Consider the following 20789-nt stretch of genomic DNA (forward strand, 5'->3'; position numbering starts at 1 on the left):
CATGTGCCACCATGCCCAGCTAGTTTTTGTATTTTTAGTAGAGATGGGTTTTTGTCATGTTGCCCAGGCTGGTCTCAAACGCCTGGGCTCAGGTAATCTCCCATCACAGCCTCCCAGAGTGTTAGGATTACAGGCATGAGCCACTGCACCTAGCCTATCTTCACAGGTCCTTTTTGAGCCTGTGCCTTTCCCTAGGCATGCATGATTACTTTCTAATTTTCTCCAAGTATGTAGTTATTTTTGAATTTTCCAATATTTATTGCCTGGCTCCCAAAAGAGAAAAAAAGAAGGGAGGAAAAAGAGGTGCTGGCCTTTTAAATCCCCTGGAAGTCACTTTAGCCAGGAGAGAGATTTGCAAAAATGAGGAGAGGTACAGCAACATGGCCACCTGTCTCTGCCTGTACTTCTGTGATCAGAATCAGTGATCAGAGTACAGATCCTCAATATTTGGGGAGCAAAATACATTTTGTCTACTCTAGCTCCTGTAATTGTAGGGTCCTGTAGATTGAATTCAGGACACCAGGCACAGCTTCCTTTCAAAGGACTAAGGATGGCAGATGGGTAGCTGCCACTAAACTAAGAGCTGAAATTGATCAGAATTAACCACATTTTACCATCGAGCTTTCCCCTAGAAGTTGCAAGCCTTCAATAGACTACAGAGTTCCAAAGTAGTTAACATCAGACAGATTTTGTCAGTTCATTTACAGTTTAGGAGGCATACAGATTTCTGGTGCTTCCTACTCCACAGTCTTTCCAGAATCCTCCTCTTTTAACCATGTTTAAGTATACAGTTCATTGGCATTAATTACAGGATCATACTATTAAGGCCATGTTTCATTTCCTTCTTCAATTCTTCAAAGAAATACTTTAGCATCCTGCTCCCACTTGTTTAAAATTTCCATGGAAAGTTCTTCTCTTGTCTACAGCTGATCTGGGCACAGGAGTTTTGGCACCAGTTGAGCGGAAAGTTTGTTCAACTTTAATTTTTCTGTCAGAATTGTGTTAGGTCAACCAGCTGAGATGTCTGTGGTGTTGAGTATTGTTTGTGCTGTTAATTGTTGGTCCTTTTCAATTAGGGCACAAGTAAATTGATTTTTTTCATAATATGCATTTTCCATGAACTTTTTGAAGACCCTCTCCTAGACTAATAAATTCCATGATCAGATAAGTTGGGAAAATGCTGCATATTGTATTCTTCTTTCAGAGATTCACATTGCTTATTAAACTGTTAGAGGCTCTGAAGGAACCTGTGTAATTCAGCATTACCAAAACTTACTTGATTATCAAATTTCTCCTCCCTCCCCTTTGAAATACCCCCTATCTCATAGAACTAATGAGCTCAGTTTGAGAAATGCTAGATTATTAAAGTTTTTTCTAGCAGTATAATATGACAATAGCTAGTATGTGGCCAGTTCAAGTAGCTAATCACAAGCAAATAATTTAGAACAATTCTCTTTTTAAAGGGGCAGAATAATTGGCATCTTTGAAAATATTTTTATAATTTTCAACTCTGTCAATCAAGGCAATGTATATATGAAGGAGTAATTAACTATGTTATAATATTTCCAGTTGTGCCCTCTATGTTTTATATGCAAAAACAAAGTTATCAAAAGATATAGGATCAATTTTAGTCCTAGAATTTAGGTCTTTTTTTTTAGTCAGTTAAAAATCTTTTGAAGGTAGTCTTTAAAATATTTTATATAGCAAGCATGCTATACATATTTCCTCTAAAAGAAATAGAAAAATATTTTTAAAGAGTTAAAATGTTCAAAGTAATACAGAGACTATTTATTGATTTAAGTTTTCTTTTCATCAAAACACTATTCCACAAAAGAACTCTTTTTGTGAGACAGGGTCTGACTCTGTCACCCAGGCTGGAGTGCAGTGGCATGATCTTGGCTTACTGCAATCTCAGCCTCCCAGGCTCCAGCCATCCTCTCACCTCAGCCTCCCAAGGAGCTTGGACTACAGGCACATGCCACCACGCCCGGCTAATTTTTATATTTTTTGCAGAGATGGGGTTTTGCCTTGTTGCCCAGGCTGGTCTCAAACTCCTGACCTTAATCAGCCTGTCTGCCTCGACCTCCCAAAATGCTTGGATTACAGGCATAAGCAAAGGACCCTGAGCCATTAAAATATTTTTACTGGGTAATTTTGGTGACTAATTCTAGTGCATTCTTGGCTAAAATAATTCTGATTAATAAAAATTTCTAATAACTATGAAGGGTTATCAGGTGTTTACTTTGTATATCTTGTGTATTTGGGGTCTTGTCTGTAGTTCTGGCAGTCCCCATTCACCTATATTTACATTAGTAAGTAAATACATTTTATTTTTTTCTCCTAGAGTATCTTAGAGTATGAATTACTGGCTTTTCCAAGTAGTTTAGAGTGCACATTTTCAAGTTCTTAATTGAAGTTGCTTTTAGGCTGTTGCTTTTAGAAAAGTTGCTTCTATATTAGATTTTTGCCAAAATAATAAGGAGAAATATATTTGTAAAGGGAAAGTTATATATTACTGTGTAAGATACAGTTTATCTTCAGGTTAATGCTTTTGTTACCAACTCACTTTGTCCCATGTAGTTATTGTAAGTTCCCTGTCCTTTTTATCTCTATTTTTTTCTTCAATATGATTGGATCTAGAGAGCTGCAGTAGTTTTGACAAACCATTTTTGATTTAGCTGGCCAATAACTTTATTGGCTCTAAGACCTCGTGTCTAAAATTTATACCTATGACTACTTCTGACTTATTTCATTAAGTTCTTCCACTGATTTTATTTTTCCTGTCTATAAACGGGACAAACAAACTAGCCTGGTGATCATCATTAAGTTAGCCTATAAACCTTATTTGAGCATATATTTTTTCTTTCTAGAATAAGGTTTTTGACATCAGCTCCCCGCGGTTTGTCATCCCAACAATAGTTAGTTAGAGCAATCACTGCCCCACCCCTGCCCCTGTGTTTTTTTGTTGTTGTTGTTTGTTTGTTTGTTTTGAGATAGGGTCTTACTTTGTCACCCAGGCTGGAGTGCAGTGGCACAATCTTAGCTCACTGGAACCTCCGCTGCCCAAGCTCAAGCGATCGTTCCACCTCAGCTTCCCAAGTAGCTGGGGCTACAGGCATGTACCACCGCGCTTGGCTAATTTTTGTATTTTTATTCCATATGGAGTTTCACCGTGTTGCCCAGACTGGTCTCAAACTCCTGGACTCAAGCTATCCGCCTGCCTCAGCCTCCCAAAGTGCTGTTTACAAGCGTGAGCCACCACGCCAGGCCGCAATCCTCCTCATCCTTTCTTTCCACTAACCAGGATATATTATTTTTGTAATAAATATGATCCTGGTTCCTCAAGAATTGAGTTCCTGCTCCTTCCTTAATCCAAAATCCTTGCAAGGATTGAAGCCATTGAATCCAAATCTAGTGGGTAGATCCTCAGCCCTCTAATACTGGTTGTGTTTGAATCTTATTTTGCCTCTTAGGTTACCTATATTTATGTGATAGGAATTCTCTTTTAAGATACAGGGGAAGCCACAGAGCTTCTATTAGTGATAGATTATCTATTGTTTTAATTCGGTGAGATAATTGAGCTAATGAGTATTGGCTATAGTGTTAACATTACTGGATATTGTGAATACAACGCCCATTGGATAAAACAGTTTTATTGATAAAGTTCAGCCTTTAGTGGGACAGTTAGTATCATCTCCCTATCTTTACTTTTCCTTGTTGTTGAAAATTTTGAGTTATTTTGATGAAGAGATGTATTTTTTCAATATTATATCACAGACTTAATATAAAGTCTTTCAGCAGATTTATAGTCCTCTTAGATTTGATTTGAAAAATAGTATTTTAGATTAAAATCTTTATAAAATTATTGCTCTTCAGTGAGATTTTCTGTAGATAGATCTTAAAATAAGCAGAATTTTAAAAACTAATAACATTTCTATTTCATTTTAGGCCAATAATAGAAATTGTAATGAAAATGTCCAGCCCCCAAACCACTGGCATATATTTCTGATGTCTTACCTGTTTGTGAATGACCTAGATAAAGACATGTATACAGAATTCCCCTTCCCCACCATACCTATTTTTCTTTAAGTCATATTGTGAAAACATTTCTCTTGTGTTCTGAGCCAGTTAAAATTATATAGTGACTTTTTTTTAAGTGGTAAATTGTTACAGAAACCCAAATTGGAGGAATGGGAGTTTGGAACCAGGTGTGGAGAAAAAAAATCAAGAAAAATAGGACTGAACTAACCTTTGTAACAATAAAGCTACCAGTAATAAGACTTTTTTGTTATCTCATCATATGAATATATTTCCATTTGGGGCTATGTTACATTTCTTAAACTCTGTATTAGAAAGATTTACAAAGATTGTAACACGTTAAATAGATACTTGGCTTTTTTAATGTTCTCAGGTGAGTTTTATAATTATATTCTTTAAATAAACAGCTTTATTGTTGTGGCTCTGCCTTTAGACTTGGGAAATTTTTATTTATAGTTTAGCTATTAAGTGAATCACAGCCTTCAGTCATTTTAAGTCACTGGTTCTTATCTCGTGGGCCATTGAAGGTACTATTTATAACTTGATCTGAGTGTCTTAATTCTTTTTAAAAATGTTTAAGTTAGTTATATGTCATATTTTTGTTTTGTTTTTAAACAATGCCTTAAAGCTTTCATAATCTGGGTAAAATAGTCTACCTTCTACGATTCATTTATCTTATATTTTTATTCTTTTTGGTAGTCTGTTGGTTTAAATTGTTATACTAATGTTGACTCTTAATTTCTTTTCTACAGCCTGGATTTGTGGTATCATTTCTATCACTGTCATTAGCCTGCTTTCCTTGCTAGGCGTGATCTTGGTTCCTATCATTAACCAAGGATGCTTCAAATTCCTTCTTACATTCCTTGTTGCATTAGCTGTAGGAACAATGAGTGGAGACGCCCTTCTTCATCTACTGCCCCATGTAAGAAATGTTTTTAATGTTTTTAAAAATTTAAAATAAAAATATTTAAGCTGAAAGGGTCCTTCATTAGCAAGCTATAGCACAGTAATCTAGTATTTGTATTGTTTTATTTGCTTATAGGATGAAGTATTTTTTTCTCCATTTTCAGAGTTTTAATAGCAATATTTTTTTAAATAAATTGAATCATTAGGTCAACTTTGCTTTCAATAGTCTTTAAAAAAAACTCATTGGATTAAAATTTGCAATATCAGTAGCAGTGAGTGGTCTTTTTTATCTGTGTAGCATATCAGGTTAGCCTTTAGGAGAAATGCATAAGATATGTTGTAATGATTATGCCTGTAGGTGGTATGCCATCAGCATCTTTGAGCGGGAGTAGGCAGATACACTCAGTGCGCTGTTTTACACTTAGCTCTTTATACATGGGGGCATTTATCTTTTCACCTGTCATGCCAGTCCTTTTCTTCTCTTTGGGGACACTTCTAATTATATGATCACAAGCCCATATTCCTAGTACCATGCTTACCAACCTTTTTAAAAGTTGCTCTCTATAACCTATCAATAGTTAGTTAGGTAGATAGCTGTCTATCACCAGCTAAGAGTATTTAATTCACTCTTACTATTTTTACTTCAAATTATGAAAACAATGGGGATTTTTCTTTTCCAAATATAAAATTGAAGTATTGAGTATTTCCCTTCTAGAGAATTTGGGAGACAGGATTATATTTGTGTGTTGTGTATATCTCCTCTCTTCTGCACTCTTGGTTGAGAATTCCAGATTTAGTATCTACAGCAATATATGGCATTGCTTTTTTTTTTTTTAATAAACAGGTTAATGAATCTTAAGGCTGTGAATATGAAGTTTTTGTTTCACCATTTCTACTAGCCATCAAGAATAGCAACAGTTTCCTTTAGAACTGGGCCTAGTAAGAGTTATTGAAGTGAGAACAGTATTTAAGTGCTGTTCAACTTGTTTTTGTATTAAGAAGGGTTAACTAAACCTAGCTGTTACCTTTTTGAGTGGTCTGATATCCTCTGAGAGGTTTAGATATCTCTTTGGTTGACCACTAGTTAACAGGAAAAGAATACAAATAAATTTTAGAACGAAGAAAGATACCTAAGTGCAGTTATCTAACTTATGTTCTATAAGATTACTGTTGTGATACTTGTACATTTCATAATGTTGAAACATAACCTTTTCTATACATACATTTATGATTGCTAAAGCTTTAAAATATAGAAAATTACATATTTAAGGATACCCTCTTGCTAACTTTCCACAGTATATGCAGAGATAGCGACCTTATTACCTCTGAAATAATTTTATAAGAGAAGAAACTGATGAAATAATCTGTACAACAACTCCCCCTGACATAAGTTGACCTGTGTAACAAACCTGCACTTGTACCCCTGAACTTAAAATAAAAGTTAAAAGAAAAAATATATGATAATCAGTTTAAGAAAGAATTAGATTACAGGGAATCACAAGTGACTGCTGGTGAATTAGTTTGTGTGTTTTGTTTCATTTTTACTAAATATTTGGCATGTAAGTAGATCATGTTCACTTCAATTTACAAAGAACCCATCACTCCCTATTGTTACTTCTGGCTTGATTCTCTCACTGTAGTATGTATCTTATTCTTATAGCATTTGACTTGGTGTCTTTGAGTTACTGTAAAATGTAGTAGTATTTTGGACAACTGAGTAAAGCAAATTAAATGGAAGACTAAGTGAGATAATATCTAGGGGAGCACTTTAAAACTTGAAAGGTATTTTTTCTGTGTCATTTAGGAGATTATAATTATTATAATTTCAAAATTTTAAATAGCATTTCAATTATTTGTTTAGAAGTTTTATTTGTTCTTATTAATAGTCTCAGGGTGGACATGATCACAGTCACCAACATGCACATGGGCATGGACATTCTCATGGACATGAATCTAACAAGTTTTTGGAAGAATATGATGCTGTATTGAAAGGACTTGTTGCTCTAGGAGGCATTTACTTGCTATTTATCATTGAACACTGCATTAGAATGTTTAAGCACTACAAACAACAAAGAGTAAGTATTTTTTATTTATTTAATTTTATACCATAAAACTCAAAACAAAAATTATCCTTTTCTGGGTATATGCTTTCCTTAATTATGATGTTGGTGTGTATTAAGTCTCAGTTTTGTAACAGCTAATCTTTAGAGTAAAAAGCTGACTTTGGTTTTTTAAAATTAAATATGTGGTTGTTGTTGTTGTTTGGTTTTTTTGAGACAGGGTCTCCCTCTGTCACCTAGGCTGCAATGCAGTGTTGTGATCATGGCTCACTGCAACCTTGACCTCCTGGGCTCAGGTGATCCTTTTGCCCCAGCCTCCCGAGTAGCTGGGACCATAGGCACATGCCACCATGCCCAGCTAACTTGTATGTATGTATGTATGTATGTATGTATGTATGTATGTATGTATGTATGTATTTTGAGACAGATTCTCGCTATGTGGCCCAGGCTAGAATGCAGTGACATGATCTCCACTCACAGCAACCTCCACCTCTTAGGTTCAAGCAATTCTTGTGCCTCGGCCTCCTAAGTGGGTAGGACCATAGCTGCGCACCACCATGCCTGGCTAGTTTTTGTATTTTTAGTAGAGACAGGGTTTTGCCATGTTGGCCAGGGTGGTCTTGAACTCCTGGCTTCAAGTGATCCACCTGCCTTAGCCTCCCAAAGTGCTGGGATTACAGACATGAGCCACCATGCCTGGTGCCCTCTAACTATTAAAAATTATTTGTAGAGACAGAGTTCTCAGTATGTTGCCCAGGCTGGTCTTGAACTCCTGGGTTCAAGTGATCCTCTCACCTTAGTCTCTCAAAGACTTGGGATTACAGGCATGAGGCACCACACCCTACATGACTTTGATCTTTGCCATTTTTGTTACTACATTTATTTTGGCATTTATAATCAAGATACAGCAGTCTCAGTTTCAGTTATTTTGTGTTACATCATACCTAATTGACTTAAATAGGATGGCAAAAGATATTTTCTAATTAAGTTTATTATAAAAATGTGAAAGTATGTAAAGAGAAGCAAGTTTCATCCGTCTTCTTAGGTAATATTTTTAATCATGTGACTTTTATTGTAGTATTTTTTAATGAAAATGTTTTCACACAAAAAGTGTTTTCACACTTCTTACTGGAGGTAAGAAGTCAGATTAAGGGGGCTTTGTAGGAAGAAAATAAAATGAAATGATGGAAATGGTGACTCTTTTCAAGAATGATGCACCACTTTGGAGATGATGCTTGACGCTTGGTTGAACTGTTGCTTAAATACTCTGATGGTGATGCAGCTGTCTGTTTCACCTCACATTTATGAGAATACAAAAAATATCTAAGAAGAATTATCCTCCAAGAAAGTAAATTCAGGGCTGCTGCCATTCACTATGATTTATACTCCTCCCTATTCACTTCAGTTCACATCTGCCTTTTAAAGCTCTATCCTGAATACATCTCACTAACATGTTTGTGATACTAACAGTGATTATCTTCAGTATATTCTGTTTAAGTAAAGCTTTCCACAAAAAAAAGAGTTGGAAAATTCATTTTGTTAGTTAATTCCAGATACCTTTTTTGGGATGGTCAAGATCTTAAAGATGTGCAGTCTACTTTTAAGATACAATTTTATACTATTTTTGTTTCTGTTTTGTTTGCATATGTGTGTGTTTTGTATATATTCCTTTCATGATTTGGAACAGATCTCTGAACTGGGATTCATGGGAGTGATTCTGGTTTACATAAAACTTATTTGTGTGACTATGACTCACTCCTCATGATTTCCAGTAGTTATCTAAATCATGAGAAAGAAATCTTACTTCTCATCTGTATTTTCGTATCTTATTTCAAATTGTATATTTTAGTTATATTTAGTCAGGACATCATCACATTTGTTTGCCTCCAAAGGAGAGGTGATTAAGATAGCCTAGAAAAGAAGAATGATAAAAGGAACTGGGAAAGTTCAACTTAGAGAAAAGTAAAAGAGAGCTAACAGTATTTAGATTTTGAAGGGGCTTGTGGAAGGTGAAGTAATTAATTCTGATGGACGAGTAGAGAATAAAATATGGTGGGAGGGATGCCAACACAGAAGGGGCTGCAGGGAAACAAGAGTTGGCTAAGTAGATGACTGCAGAATAATTCAAAAGAGGTGGTGGGGCTTGAGTGAGGGTCATGGCAGAAGAAATAGGAGAGGAAAAGATGATTAAGGGAATTATTTAGATGGGAGAATCAAGAAGACTTCTTAGTTGATTAGATGTAAGACATATAAGTATTTAAAAGTTCATCACTACAATAAATTAGATATTGCAAAGTTTGTAAAGAAGTTTTAGAATTGCCAATTGAGCATCTCTAATGTGACAATCTAAGATCTGAAATGCTCCAGTGAGCTTTCCCTTTAACCATCACGTCAGTACTCAAGTTTCAGATTTTGGAACATTTCAGATTTCAGATAAACAAGTTTTTTGTTTTTTATAATTTGATCTTTTTAATCTCATTTTGAACCTAAGCTTACTGGTGCTTATACATTTATTTTTGCAAAGAAAACTGATACAAGAATGGAGTCACCAAACCATGACAGCTTTTTTGTAAATTTGAAATTGTGGGAAGTAAAACACTGGAAGAACACCTTGGATGCAGGGAGTGTTCTCTAAATATTAAATAGTAAGGAATTCTCAACTATATCAGAGAAGGGAATCTGGCCAGATAAGTCAGGGCATCTGCTTTATGGTAAATAGGACAATAAGTAACCTAAGATGAAAAGGTTATGGCATTCTTTTGAAGAAAGGGAATTAGTGATACTTGAGTAGAATAGACATTTGACAGTCTGCACAGAATAATCAACTGTTTCAGCTTTCAAACCACAAGTTAAATAATACACTAGATGTTGACTTGTTTCAGCAAGTTGGGGACCTTGAGGGTAATGATTTGCAAGCTTCTAAGAAAGTGGACTATCAGAACCAAAGCAATTAAACAAAATCTCAGCTGGTGTTTTCATTTTCTTTAATTTCTATATCCTTCTCATTGACTTTTGTACTATTGTTGGCTCCTCCTTCCCCTTTTTCCCCTTAACTCATGGTTGCCGTTTTTTTTCTTCTCTTTAGGACTTGTCCGTATCATTATTTTCCTGTGAATGTCTTAACTCTTCCCAGTTTCTATCGGCTTAGTGGCTTACATTAACCATTACTTCTCTTATTCTCTGTGCCAGGATTCAAATGGGGAGTTCCTCTCTACTTGCCATTTGCTAGAGTCTTTAACACTATTACATTAAAATTCAGCAGGCCACTGGATTAGGATGTATAGGGCTGGAAAGTCCAAGAATACTTCACTCCCTGTCTGCATCTTAATGCTTCTCCACATGGCTTCTCTTTCTAGGAGAGACCAATCTTCTTCATAGGATAGTGGCTGGCTTTCCTGAGCAAAAGCAAAAGCTTCCAGATCTCTATAAAGCTAGTTTTGGAAGTGGCACAGCATCACTTCTCCTGCATTCTATTGATCAAAACAAGTCAAAAGGCTAGCCAGAATTCCAGGGCAGGGGGGTAGATTCCATGTCCTCATGGGTGGAGCAGAATGCTCATACAGGGAGGAAGGAAATTGATAGTGGCCATCTTTGAGATTACCTTATGCTCTACTAGCCATGCAAGCTTACTTATGCAGCAGTTAGACGACTTAAACATCTGAAACATAGTTAACAGCCTATAAACAAAACCAGCAACAAAAAAATGCCATGCCAGTCAGTAAGCGTCTCCCAGAGAAAACTTTTTTTTCAACAGTGTTCTAGAATAATTATTTGCTTTCTTAAATTAGCATACATTAGAAGCAGAAATTTAAGTTGGAAGAGTTGTTAGTGGTAGTTACATTGATAAAAGAAGAAAGCAGTAAAAGCCAGACTGTGAAGACATACAGTAAGAAAAATTTAAACCTAAACAATGAAGTACAATAATTAGTATTTGTAACTAATTAAGGACAGATTAAATTATGTTCTCCATCTAAGTCCAAGGTGATAAGAAAGGATGCTTGTCTTTACTATAAGACTACTAAGAGTCACTTACTGTGATAGGTCCTTTCATACATCACCTCATTTAATCCTCATAAAAATGTTATTTTTATTTTTACAGATGAGTATTCTTATATTCAATAAATTTAACAAACTTGCCTAAGTGTCAGATGGAAACTACAAACTTAAGATTCTCACTCAAATTTGACTCTTCTTTACGTCACATTCAGGGAAATATAGATTGCATTAAATGTGAATGAAATTCAAACAAGCTTTAGTTTTTTGGAACTTTCTGTTACCTTACACTATTGGATAAGAGATTTTACACATGTTATACACGTTTCATTTGTTGCATCTAATAATTCAGTACTGTGTGCTCTGTTCTTAACTTCAAAGTAGATGAATGGAACCTCTTAGTTGAATATTTAAAAAAATACAAATTTAGTTGGATTTTTCATCTCTGGATTGCTTTACTCCCAAGAATTTTTTTTCACGCCCCTTTAAAATAATTTATATATAAAGTTAACACCATTTTTACCTGTAGGTGTTAATGAGTCAATATTGTTGCTAATTGTGTCCTCACATTTTATACTAATATCAGATACTATTTTTTTTCTTTTTTTAGGGAAAACAGAAATGGTTTATGAAACAGAACACAGAAGAATCAACTATTGGAAGAAAGCTTTCAGATCACAAGTTAAACAATACACCAGATTCTGACTGGCTTCAACTCAAGCCTCTTGCCGGTAGACAGCAATTCTGACTCAAGACAAACTTTTTTCTTTTTTTTTTTTCATTCAAATTTACATTTAATTTCTATTTACATTCATTCAATCTGAAATTAAATAATACAGTAAACTAAATACAAGATGAAAAGCAGAAAAGGTGTTACCCTCATAGCACTCTTAATAAGGCAGCTGAATAATTTATTTACTGATAGATGCAAAGCCAACTTGGGATAGGAGAAACAACAGTTTAAAGAGCAAACACATAGATGAACCTATCTTTCAGATGTTACTCTAGATGATCCACTGAGATAATACTTGTGCTATAAAGATAAGAATTACACAAGAAAAAGTACTGTATTAATCAGCAACAGACCACAGGTTATGCATGACAAAGACTTTTTTTTTTTTTGAGACAGAGTCTCACTCTGTCGCCCAGGCTGGAGTGCAGTAGCGCCATCTCGGCTTACTGCAAGCTCCGCCTCCCGGGTTCATGCCATTCTCCTGCCTCAGCCTCCCCAGTAGATGGGACTACAGGCGCCCACCACCACGCCTGGCTAATTTTTTTCTTTGTATTTTTAGTAGGGACGGGGTTTCACCGTGTCAGCCAGGATGGTCTCCATCTCCTGACCTCGTGATCTGCCCACCTCGGCCTCCCAAAGTGCTGGGATTACAGGAGTGAGCCACCGCGCCCGGCCGACAAATACTTTTATGATAGTTTGTCTAGCTTGCTAGTGTCTCCTCCTATGAAAAAAGGTAGATGTTTGGACATTGATGTTTTTGAGAAATTAACCATTTTCAAAATCTATTCTTCATAAATTCAGCATTTCTCATGGGAATAATCTTAGATCTAGCCCTTGTAAGCTAGGAGCCATATGATTAAATATTCAAAATAGGTCCTATATTAAATATATGATCCAAGGCTCAGAATATTAATACTATATAAGATGCATCTTGTTTATAATCATTTATTACCTGTGGTAAAGAATGTTGAATTTATAGAGTATCACAGATGCATTCTCCACCCCTCCCCCTCAGATTATCTTCTGTCTCAAAAAATAGTGTGGAAAAATCCCTCTTGAAGGATTCAAATTAGTTAAAACCATAAAAGGGGAAAAAACAACATAATTTTCCTAAAAATCTGGTTCAAGTTCAATATTTAATACTTTACATTATTAATCACTGCTGGTTTATAAATCCAAATTTAGTTATTCTGTAATGCTACAAACCTTTTTTTTGAGACGGAGTTTCACTTTGTCACCCAGGCTGGAGTGCAGTGGCGTGATCTTGGCTCACTGTAAGCTCTACCTCCTGGGTTCATGCCATTCTCCTGCCTCAGCCTCCCGAGTAGCTGGGACTACAGGCGCCCGCCATCACGCCCGTCTAATTTTTTGTGTTTTTAGTAGAGATGGGGTTTCACCATGTTAGCCAGGATGGTCTCAATCTCCTGACCTCGTGATTCGCCTGCCTCAGCCTCCCAAAGTGCTGGGGTTACAGGCGTGAGCCACTGCGCCTGGCAATGCTACAAACCTTATAATCAAATTAGTAAGCTTAAGTGATTATATTTTAATTAAAAAACAGCATGTATAAAATAAAAATATTTCCTATAATAGCTGATTTTAAAGAAAATAAGTGATGAAAAAAGCACATAATCTCTTTTATATACTTACCTGGTATAATCATAAAGAACTCTCTTAGAAACTCAAGACTAGTGGCTGGGTGCGGTGGCTCACGCCTGTCATCCCGGCACTTTGGGAGGCCAAGGTGGGCAGATCAAGAGGTCAGGAGTTCAAGACCAGCCTGACCAATATGGTGAAACCCCGTCTCTACTAAGAATACAAAAATTAGCCGGGTGTGGTGGCACACACCTGTAGTCCCAGTTACTCAGATGGCTGAGGCAAGAGAATCGCTTGAACTTGGGAGGTGGGGGTTGCAGTGAGCCAAGATCGCGCCATTGCGCTCCAGCCTGGGTGACAGAGTGAGACTCTGTCTCAAAAAAAAAAAAAAAAAAAAAAAGAAATTCAAGACTAGTAATACTGACATCTTTTAAACTAGGCTTGAATTTTTACAAATAAATATAAAGAAGCAATACAGCATAGGTGTATGCTTTCTGTGACACTAATGTGACACTTGACATGTTTTCATAGTCATAGTAGGGATATCCATTTATGAAATAGAAGTTCTCAATAAACTTTCCACAGCAAGGGAAATAAATTTCACTTAATAAACGTGAAGTCAGAAAAACTTATCTATTTGTGTGGCTGGTAGGCATGCAATAAATGCTTTTTATGCAGAAAAGTTGCAGTGTTTGCCACTATTGCTGGCAGTACTAATTATGAAAACAGTTTAACTGGGGTGGTTATACCAGCCAGTCACAGCGTGCATGTTACTAGTAAATAGGACTGAGAAGGAATATTTTGGTGTATTAAGTTTCACTGGAATTTGGTCAGGCAGTCAACACTACAGTTAGTAAATACATTTGAAAACAAGTGTCAGAGTATCACAAGCCATTTACTGTCTGAAATAATGCCTGTACATTTCAGCATAGCTTTTTGGGTTCTGGCTTTTCAGACATCACAAATTGTCAGAGAACGAGGATCTGCACTTTAAGTACAATTCTGCTCTTTATCATTATTGTAGCTTCTAATTTGCCAGCTACAGTTAATAAAGTTCTCAGTAGGCTGCTGCAATAAGGGAGGAGGGGGTCTAGAGGGAGTAATTTTTTTTAAAAAAGGCTTTCTATCCAAAGATGAACTCTTTCCGAACTTTTATCTTCATGCTTTCCAGTTTTTCTCCTCACTTTGCCTGCTTTTGATTTCAGTTCCCTCCCGTTGACCTCATCCGGAGCATCTTTTAAATCTCCCCCCAAACCCAATTTCTTCTTTGTGTGTGTATGTTTGTTTTGTTTTGTTTTGCTTATTTTTTAATTTAACTCCAGAAATCATTTTTCTATTAGAATGGCTTCTAAATAATTTTAGGAAATTATTTAAGAATTCTAAAAGACATTCACTTAAGAAATGTTCATTGCACTGCTATTCTGTTTAAATTAGCAAATATCCATGCATTTAATTATTGATAAAGCATATCCTTTGCTATAAATACAGGAACTGATGACTCGGTTGTTTCTGAAGATCGACTTAATGAAACTGAACTGACAGATTTAGAAGGCCAACAAGAATCCCCTCCTAAAAATTACCTTTGTATAGAAGAGGAGAAAATCATAGACCATTCTCACAGTGATGGATTACATACCATTCATGAGCATGATCTCCATGCTGCTGCACATAACCACCACGGCGAGAACAAAACTGTGCTGAGGAAGCATAATCACCAGTGGCACCACAAGCATTCTCATCATTCCCATGGCCCCTGTCATTCTGGATCCGATCTGAAAGAAACAGGAATAGCTAATATAGCCTGGATGGTGATCATGGGGGATGGCATCCACAACTTCAGTGATGGGCTCGCAATTGGTAAGTGGACTGGAAACCACTGTCTATGCTAATCTTATGGACTATAATATGTATGATTAAATTTGGCTGGAGCTTAACAAATATATGGTTATGTATCACTCTGGTCAGTTGATTTTTCCCAAAGGCTACAGTTTTGTGTTCAGTTGTTACATTTGGAGGTGTAAGGGTATAATTTAGTGGGGTTTTTTAGAACACGTAAACAAATGTCTGTAGTATATTTCTTTAATAACTTGATTTCTCAAAGTAGAGTTACCATATTGAAAAAACTGCTTAACATTATATTTTCAAATGTATTTACATATCCCTAAAAGAGAACAGTTTAATTTCAATCCTAGGTTTAATAAATTTGCCATATCTTTGAAAAAGCAAAAAAAAAAATTTACAACATTGAAAATCCATTGTACTAAATTCAAATATATTAGTATCTTGCTAGAGTAAACGGATATTACCAGTTAAAAGGAACATTAAATGTGATCAATACATAATTTTCTTTGAGATCCAGACTCTTTTAGCACCCAGAAGTAGGCTTTGGTTTCTTTCAGAAAGCGGAGACCATGTTTTTGAATTTACAGTAGCTGTTTTTGTTTTTTTTTTTAAATAGAGACAGTCTAGATATGCTTCCCAGGCTGGTCTTGAACTCCAGGCCTCAAGCAACCCTTCTGCCTCAGCCTCCCAAAGTGCTAGGATTACAGGCATGAGCCACCTGCTCAGCCTATAGTAGCTGTTAATACTAAAGAATAAATAATTCTGCTAGTAGACCTAGATGCATTTATAAATCTGACCTCAGTCCTCAATACTACCAGACAAGTAATACTTTGTGCCATTTATTTTCCAGGTCTAGGAAAGTTTTGATAAGGATGTTAGCCATTTAAATCCCTATAAAGATCAATGTGAGAGAGCAAGTACAATCTTAGACTTATAAGACTTAAAGTTGACCATCAAACCACTACTTTGAAGTTCTGAAAATTGTTACTATTCCCGAGATATTAGTGAGTTGGAAGGCTACAAAAATAGAGAATTAAATTGAATATGGAATATTGCTTTTATTGAATAGCTATTTCTCTAGTTGTTACATACTTATTATACTCCACTATATGTTCAAAAACTATAGTGTGTAAGATAAGTGAGTCACTCATATGTTAAGAAATTAATTTAGATAGGCAAAAGAAACTGCATCTGTCATTAATGAAAATGTGAAGAGTTAAGATCAGCAAACCTCACTTGTTTTTTTTCTTATCTTCCTCAGGTGCAGCTTTCAGTGCTGGATTGACAGGAGGAATCAGTACTTCTATAGCCGTCTTCTGTCATGAACTGCCACATGAATTAGGTAATATAACCTTAAAAATTTTACCAGATTTCATCAAATCTAAGACTTCCTTAATTGTAATTGCATTCAAATTTCAGAGATGTTCAAGCATAAAAAATGGCTGATGGCAACTATAGTGTCACTAATTGTAAGATACTTCATGATGTTAAAATATGAAAAAAAAAATGCTCCTTAAGATTGATGAAATGTTCATTTCTGTGTGGTTTCCTTTGCATTCAATAACATAGTTATGCTGTTATAATGAAGATTATAGATTATGACTGGTTCACTAAGTATAACTTTTAAAAAGAAATATTTCTTAAATGCCACATTTTGCTGTTAATCTACTTTTATTTCATATACCATGTAGACTATATTTTTAAAAGAATCAGGGTAAAGTTTGTAATTACATAATTGAAAGTTGTCCTAGATGTACCTAAGGCAGTCTTTCTTCATAAATAATAGAAAGTTAATATTGATGTTCAAAAATGTTACCTGGATGGTTATTAAAGATAGATAGGTTCTTAACTCGGTTACTAACCAGCACTGAGGTTTTAGAGTAATCATTTATTTCCAAAGCTCTTATTTTATGAAGTAAGAAGGTTGGATGATTTCTGTTTTCATTTTATATATTTTAATATTATAATCTTAATACCCAAAAATCTAGTATGTGTTTCTTATGTGATTTTGGTCGAATGGAACTGAATACTCAAAAAATAATCTTTAAAAACCTATATTTTTCTTTTTTCATTTAAAAAAATGTTTTCTTGTTTATTGATACACTTTCAACTATAGTAATCATATATATTATGTTGGACTTCATTCTTTTTTTTTTTCGAATGCATTTCCCATTTGCCCTTAGAAATGAGCGCTAGAAATGAGCTGCACTTTTTTTTTCTAAAAGGGAAATGGGTTACTTCCTCCTCGCTTTGATTCGCTTTCCTGATACAACCCTTGTGTTTCTTACCTTATGTTACTTATTACTGTGTTTTAAAACTCTCCATCCCGATTACGATGAGTTAATTTAATCTGTTGTTTCTGCCCAGTACTCAGAAATGTGCTTTCGCCACATTTTACATATGTAGCACCTGTTATTGGACACAGCACGTGGCCTTTAATTTCTTCCCATCAGAGATAGTGCATTGAACATTTCTAGACTTGATACCTGTCGACTTCTCTGAGATATACACTCAGAAACAGAATTGACAGGTCTAGGGTATGCATGCTAAAGCAGTATGATTTCCAAACAGCAATATCTGAAAGTTCTTGTTGCCACAACCCTCCCAGCACTTGGCATTAACTTTCTTTTTTTTTTTTTTTCTTTGAGACAGAGTCTTCCTCTGCTGCCCAGGCTGGAGTGCAGTGGCATGATCTTGACTCACTTCAGCCTCTGTCCCCTGGGTTCAAGCGATTCTCATGCCTCAAGCCTCCCAAGTAGCTGGGACTACAGGCATGGGCCACTACGCCTGGCTAATTTTTGTTTTTTTTTTTTTTTCGAGACAGAGTTTTGCTCTTGTTGCCCAGGATGGAGTACAATGGTGTGATCTCGGCTCACCTCAACCTCCGCCTCCCGGGTTCAAGTAATTCTCCTGCCTCAGCCTCCTGAGTAGCTGCGATTACAGGCTTGTGCCACCACGCCTGGCTAATTTTGTAGTTTTAGTAGAGACGGGGTTTCTCCATGTTGGTCAGGCTGGTCTCGAACTCCTGACCTCAGGTGATCTGCCTGCCTCGGCCTCCCAAAGTCCTGGGATTACAGGCATGAGCCACTGCGCCCGGCCATAATTTTTGTATTTTTAGTAGAGACAGGGTTTCACCATGTTGGCCAGGCTGGTTTTGAACTCCTGACCTCAAGTGATCTGCCTGCCTCGGCCTCCCAAAGTGCCGAGATTACAGGTGTGAGCCACTGCACCTGGCCTTAACTTTTTCTTTTTTACCAAGGTAATGGATGTAAACCATTTCTTTTTTATTTTAGTTGGTATTTATTGGTTTACCAATTTAGTTTCTCTCCACATGCAATACTACTTTGGTTTTCTTCTTTTATAAATTAAAAAACAGTAGCTTAAGATGTAAATACTCATTCACATGGAAAATATCTGAGGGAAATGGAGATGGCATTAATTTGAAAGAAAAAATGCTAATGCCACCTTTCGAATATGCAAGGGATTTCTTCATGTGTTTTCTAATTTAATTTTTCTGAAAACTCACCTGGCTATGAAATGTCTGTCATTTGACTGTGCGTAATTGTCTTGATTTGTAGTATTTGCTCATTTTGAATAGAACTTATCATATAAATTTCTTGAAAAATCAATAACTTCTTACATAAAGCAGTAAAAATATATTAGTGCATACTTGGTGCTAATTCCTTGGGGCTTGATTCTGTATGGTTTCATTTACCTTGCCAACTTCAGACACATAATCTTATCTCTTGTTCATGCCCATTATCCTTTATCCAGACCAAGTCATCACCGCCTTTGTGGTGTTTTTGCTTAGACAGTTTTCATAGTCTTTATATCTCTGGTTTTATTCTGTTGTAGTATATCATTGCCAGATATATCTGCTTAAATGTGATGTTCTTATGTAATTAAAGTCTTCCAGTAGCTTTCCTGACATATAAAATAGAGCTGGATTTTATATATTTTTTTCCCCCTGTAACAGGGTCTCCCTCTGTTGCCCAGGCTGGAGTGCAGTGGCTTGATCACGGCTTAGTGCAGCCTTGACCTCCTGGGTTCAAATGATCCTTCTACCTCAGCCTCCTGAGTAGCTGGGACTACAGGCGTGCACCACCATGCCCAGCTAATTTTTGTATTTTTGATAGATAGGGTGTTGTCATGTTGCCCAAGCTGGTCTTGAACTCCTGGGCTCAAGTGATCCACCTCCCTCAACCTCCTAAAGTGCTGGGATTACAGGTGTGAGCCACCACGCCCAGCTATGAGTCACACTTTCAATGACCTTCACTTCTTCTCTCTACCTAGCTTTTTAGTGTTACCTGCAGTACATCCTGTTACATGTTTTTCATTTCAACTAAATGCAATTCACCAAATGTGTAGTGTGGGTGCCTGAATCTGTTTCCTTGTTTATACCATTCTCCTACATGGCTGGCCCAAATACTTCTATTCCTAGTTTATCATGTTAAGAATCTTCAACTTTATTACTGTCTTTTACCTCATGCCTTGGATTACTGTTTCCTCTTAGTTTTATTGTTTGCTTTCTCGGGGTCCTTCACCCATTTTCTTGTTAGATGCCGTATTTCTTAAACTGTAGTTTTTTAATGCACAGATACGACGTCTTATGCTCTTCTCTAACTATCACATACTGCTGTTGGTCTATCACATACTGCTGTTAGCCTAACTCCACAAATCAAGGCTATCAGTTTTTATATATGAGTTAACATGTTGCCTCATATTTAATCTTTCACTTAAAAACTATTTTTAGTAATAGACTTGGATAATCACGCATACACCTCCATAATATACTAGAAAAACCTCCAACTTTCCTTCCTGTTCATCTACCCACTACCTGGTAAATGGAGTGTCAGGCTACTTCAAGTTTAAGTGTGGTTTTACTGAATTGCCATAACCTTGAAGGATTCACTCAGACACAGAATTGAAAACAAGTTGGAGATTAAGGATGGTTACCTTCTTACCACCCTTTTTCTGTCTGCAATTTCTCATTGAAGGAGTGACACACAAGGGCTGATAACCACATGTAGAACAAATGCATTACATACATTAATAGCTAGGGAAGCCCTTGATACCCAATGCAGAGCTCTGGTAAAAAACTGGAGCGGAGAACTCTGCTTGGACCAGGAACCCCTAGTGAGACATTCAGACCTCAGATGTCTACCTGTTTTATCCCACAAATCAGAGGCTGAGATGTTGCTACTGCTATGAGAAGATATGTCAAGCCAGAGTATACTGAATTTTGCTAGAGGGAAAGGAGTGGGCTTTTAGAAAATGTGCATTTTTCCTAATGTTAAATTGATGTAAACTATACCATACTGTAGCTGGATAGGCTACTAGGGAAGAAACAGTGTAAAGAAATGACCCAGCTTCCTCTTCTGGAGGTGACAGAAAGGGCTCTGGTCCTTGTATCTATCAACAAGTTAGGAAGTGGTCTAGGGACCATAAATAAAGGAAGTAAAAATATGATTGTGGAGCCTAGTTTTTGCCTTAAGGCACAGCAAAGGGCACTTTTTGTACAATAGGACCAGGTCAGTGTCCCTACTCTGATCAGATCATCTATTCTTACTCGGAGAGGAACAGGATGTGGAGAAAGGCATACAAGCTTCTTCCTCAGAACTCCC

At 36.3% G+C, this 20789-nt stretch overlaps 1 protein-coding gene across 9 annotated transcripts in view, besides 1 other annotated feature; it reads left to right on the forward strand.

The window, feature by feature from the left end:
* The window catches only part of SLC39A10 (solute carrier family 39 member 10), a 124672-nt gene that overhangs the window by 88797 nt on the left and 15086 nt on the right, over positions 1 to 20789 (forward strand). For all 9 annotated transcript variants that reach the window (XM_011511504.3, NM_001127257.2, XM_005246689.5 and 6 more), the window contains 5 exons: positions 4791 to 4960; positions 6831 to 7019; positions 11608 to 11728; positions 14812 to 15180; positions 16427 to 16507. In XM_011511504.3, coding sequence (XP_011509806.1) covers positions 4791 to 4960; positions 6831 to 7019; positions 11608 to 11728; positions 14812 to 15180; positions 16427 to 16507 — 930 coding nt within the window. The remainder of the gene's footprint in view (positions 1 to 4790; positions 4961 to 6830; positions 7020 to 11607; positions 11729 to 14811; positions 15181 to 16426; positions 16508 to 20789) is intronic.
* Positions 2645 to 3145: an enhancer, noted in NCBI's record as "H3K27ac hESC enhancer chr2:196569194-196569694 (GRCh37/hg19 assembly coordinates)". NCBI's record gives its function as "activates a minimal SCP1, AML or CMV promoter by ChIP-STARR-seq in primed H9 embryonic stem cells {active_cell/tissue: H9 hESC(primed)}" and the evidence as "EXISTENCE:reporter gene assay evidence [ECO:0000049][PMID:30033119]".

This window comes from Homo sapiens, chromosome 2 (assembly GCF_000001405.40).
Source record: "Homo sapiens chromosome 2, GRCh38.p14 Primary Assembly".
NCBI classification, from domain to species: Eukaryota; Metazoa; Chordata; class Mammalia; order Primates; family Hominidae; genus Homo; species Homo sapiens.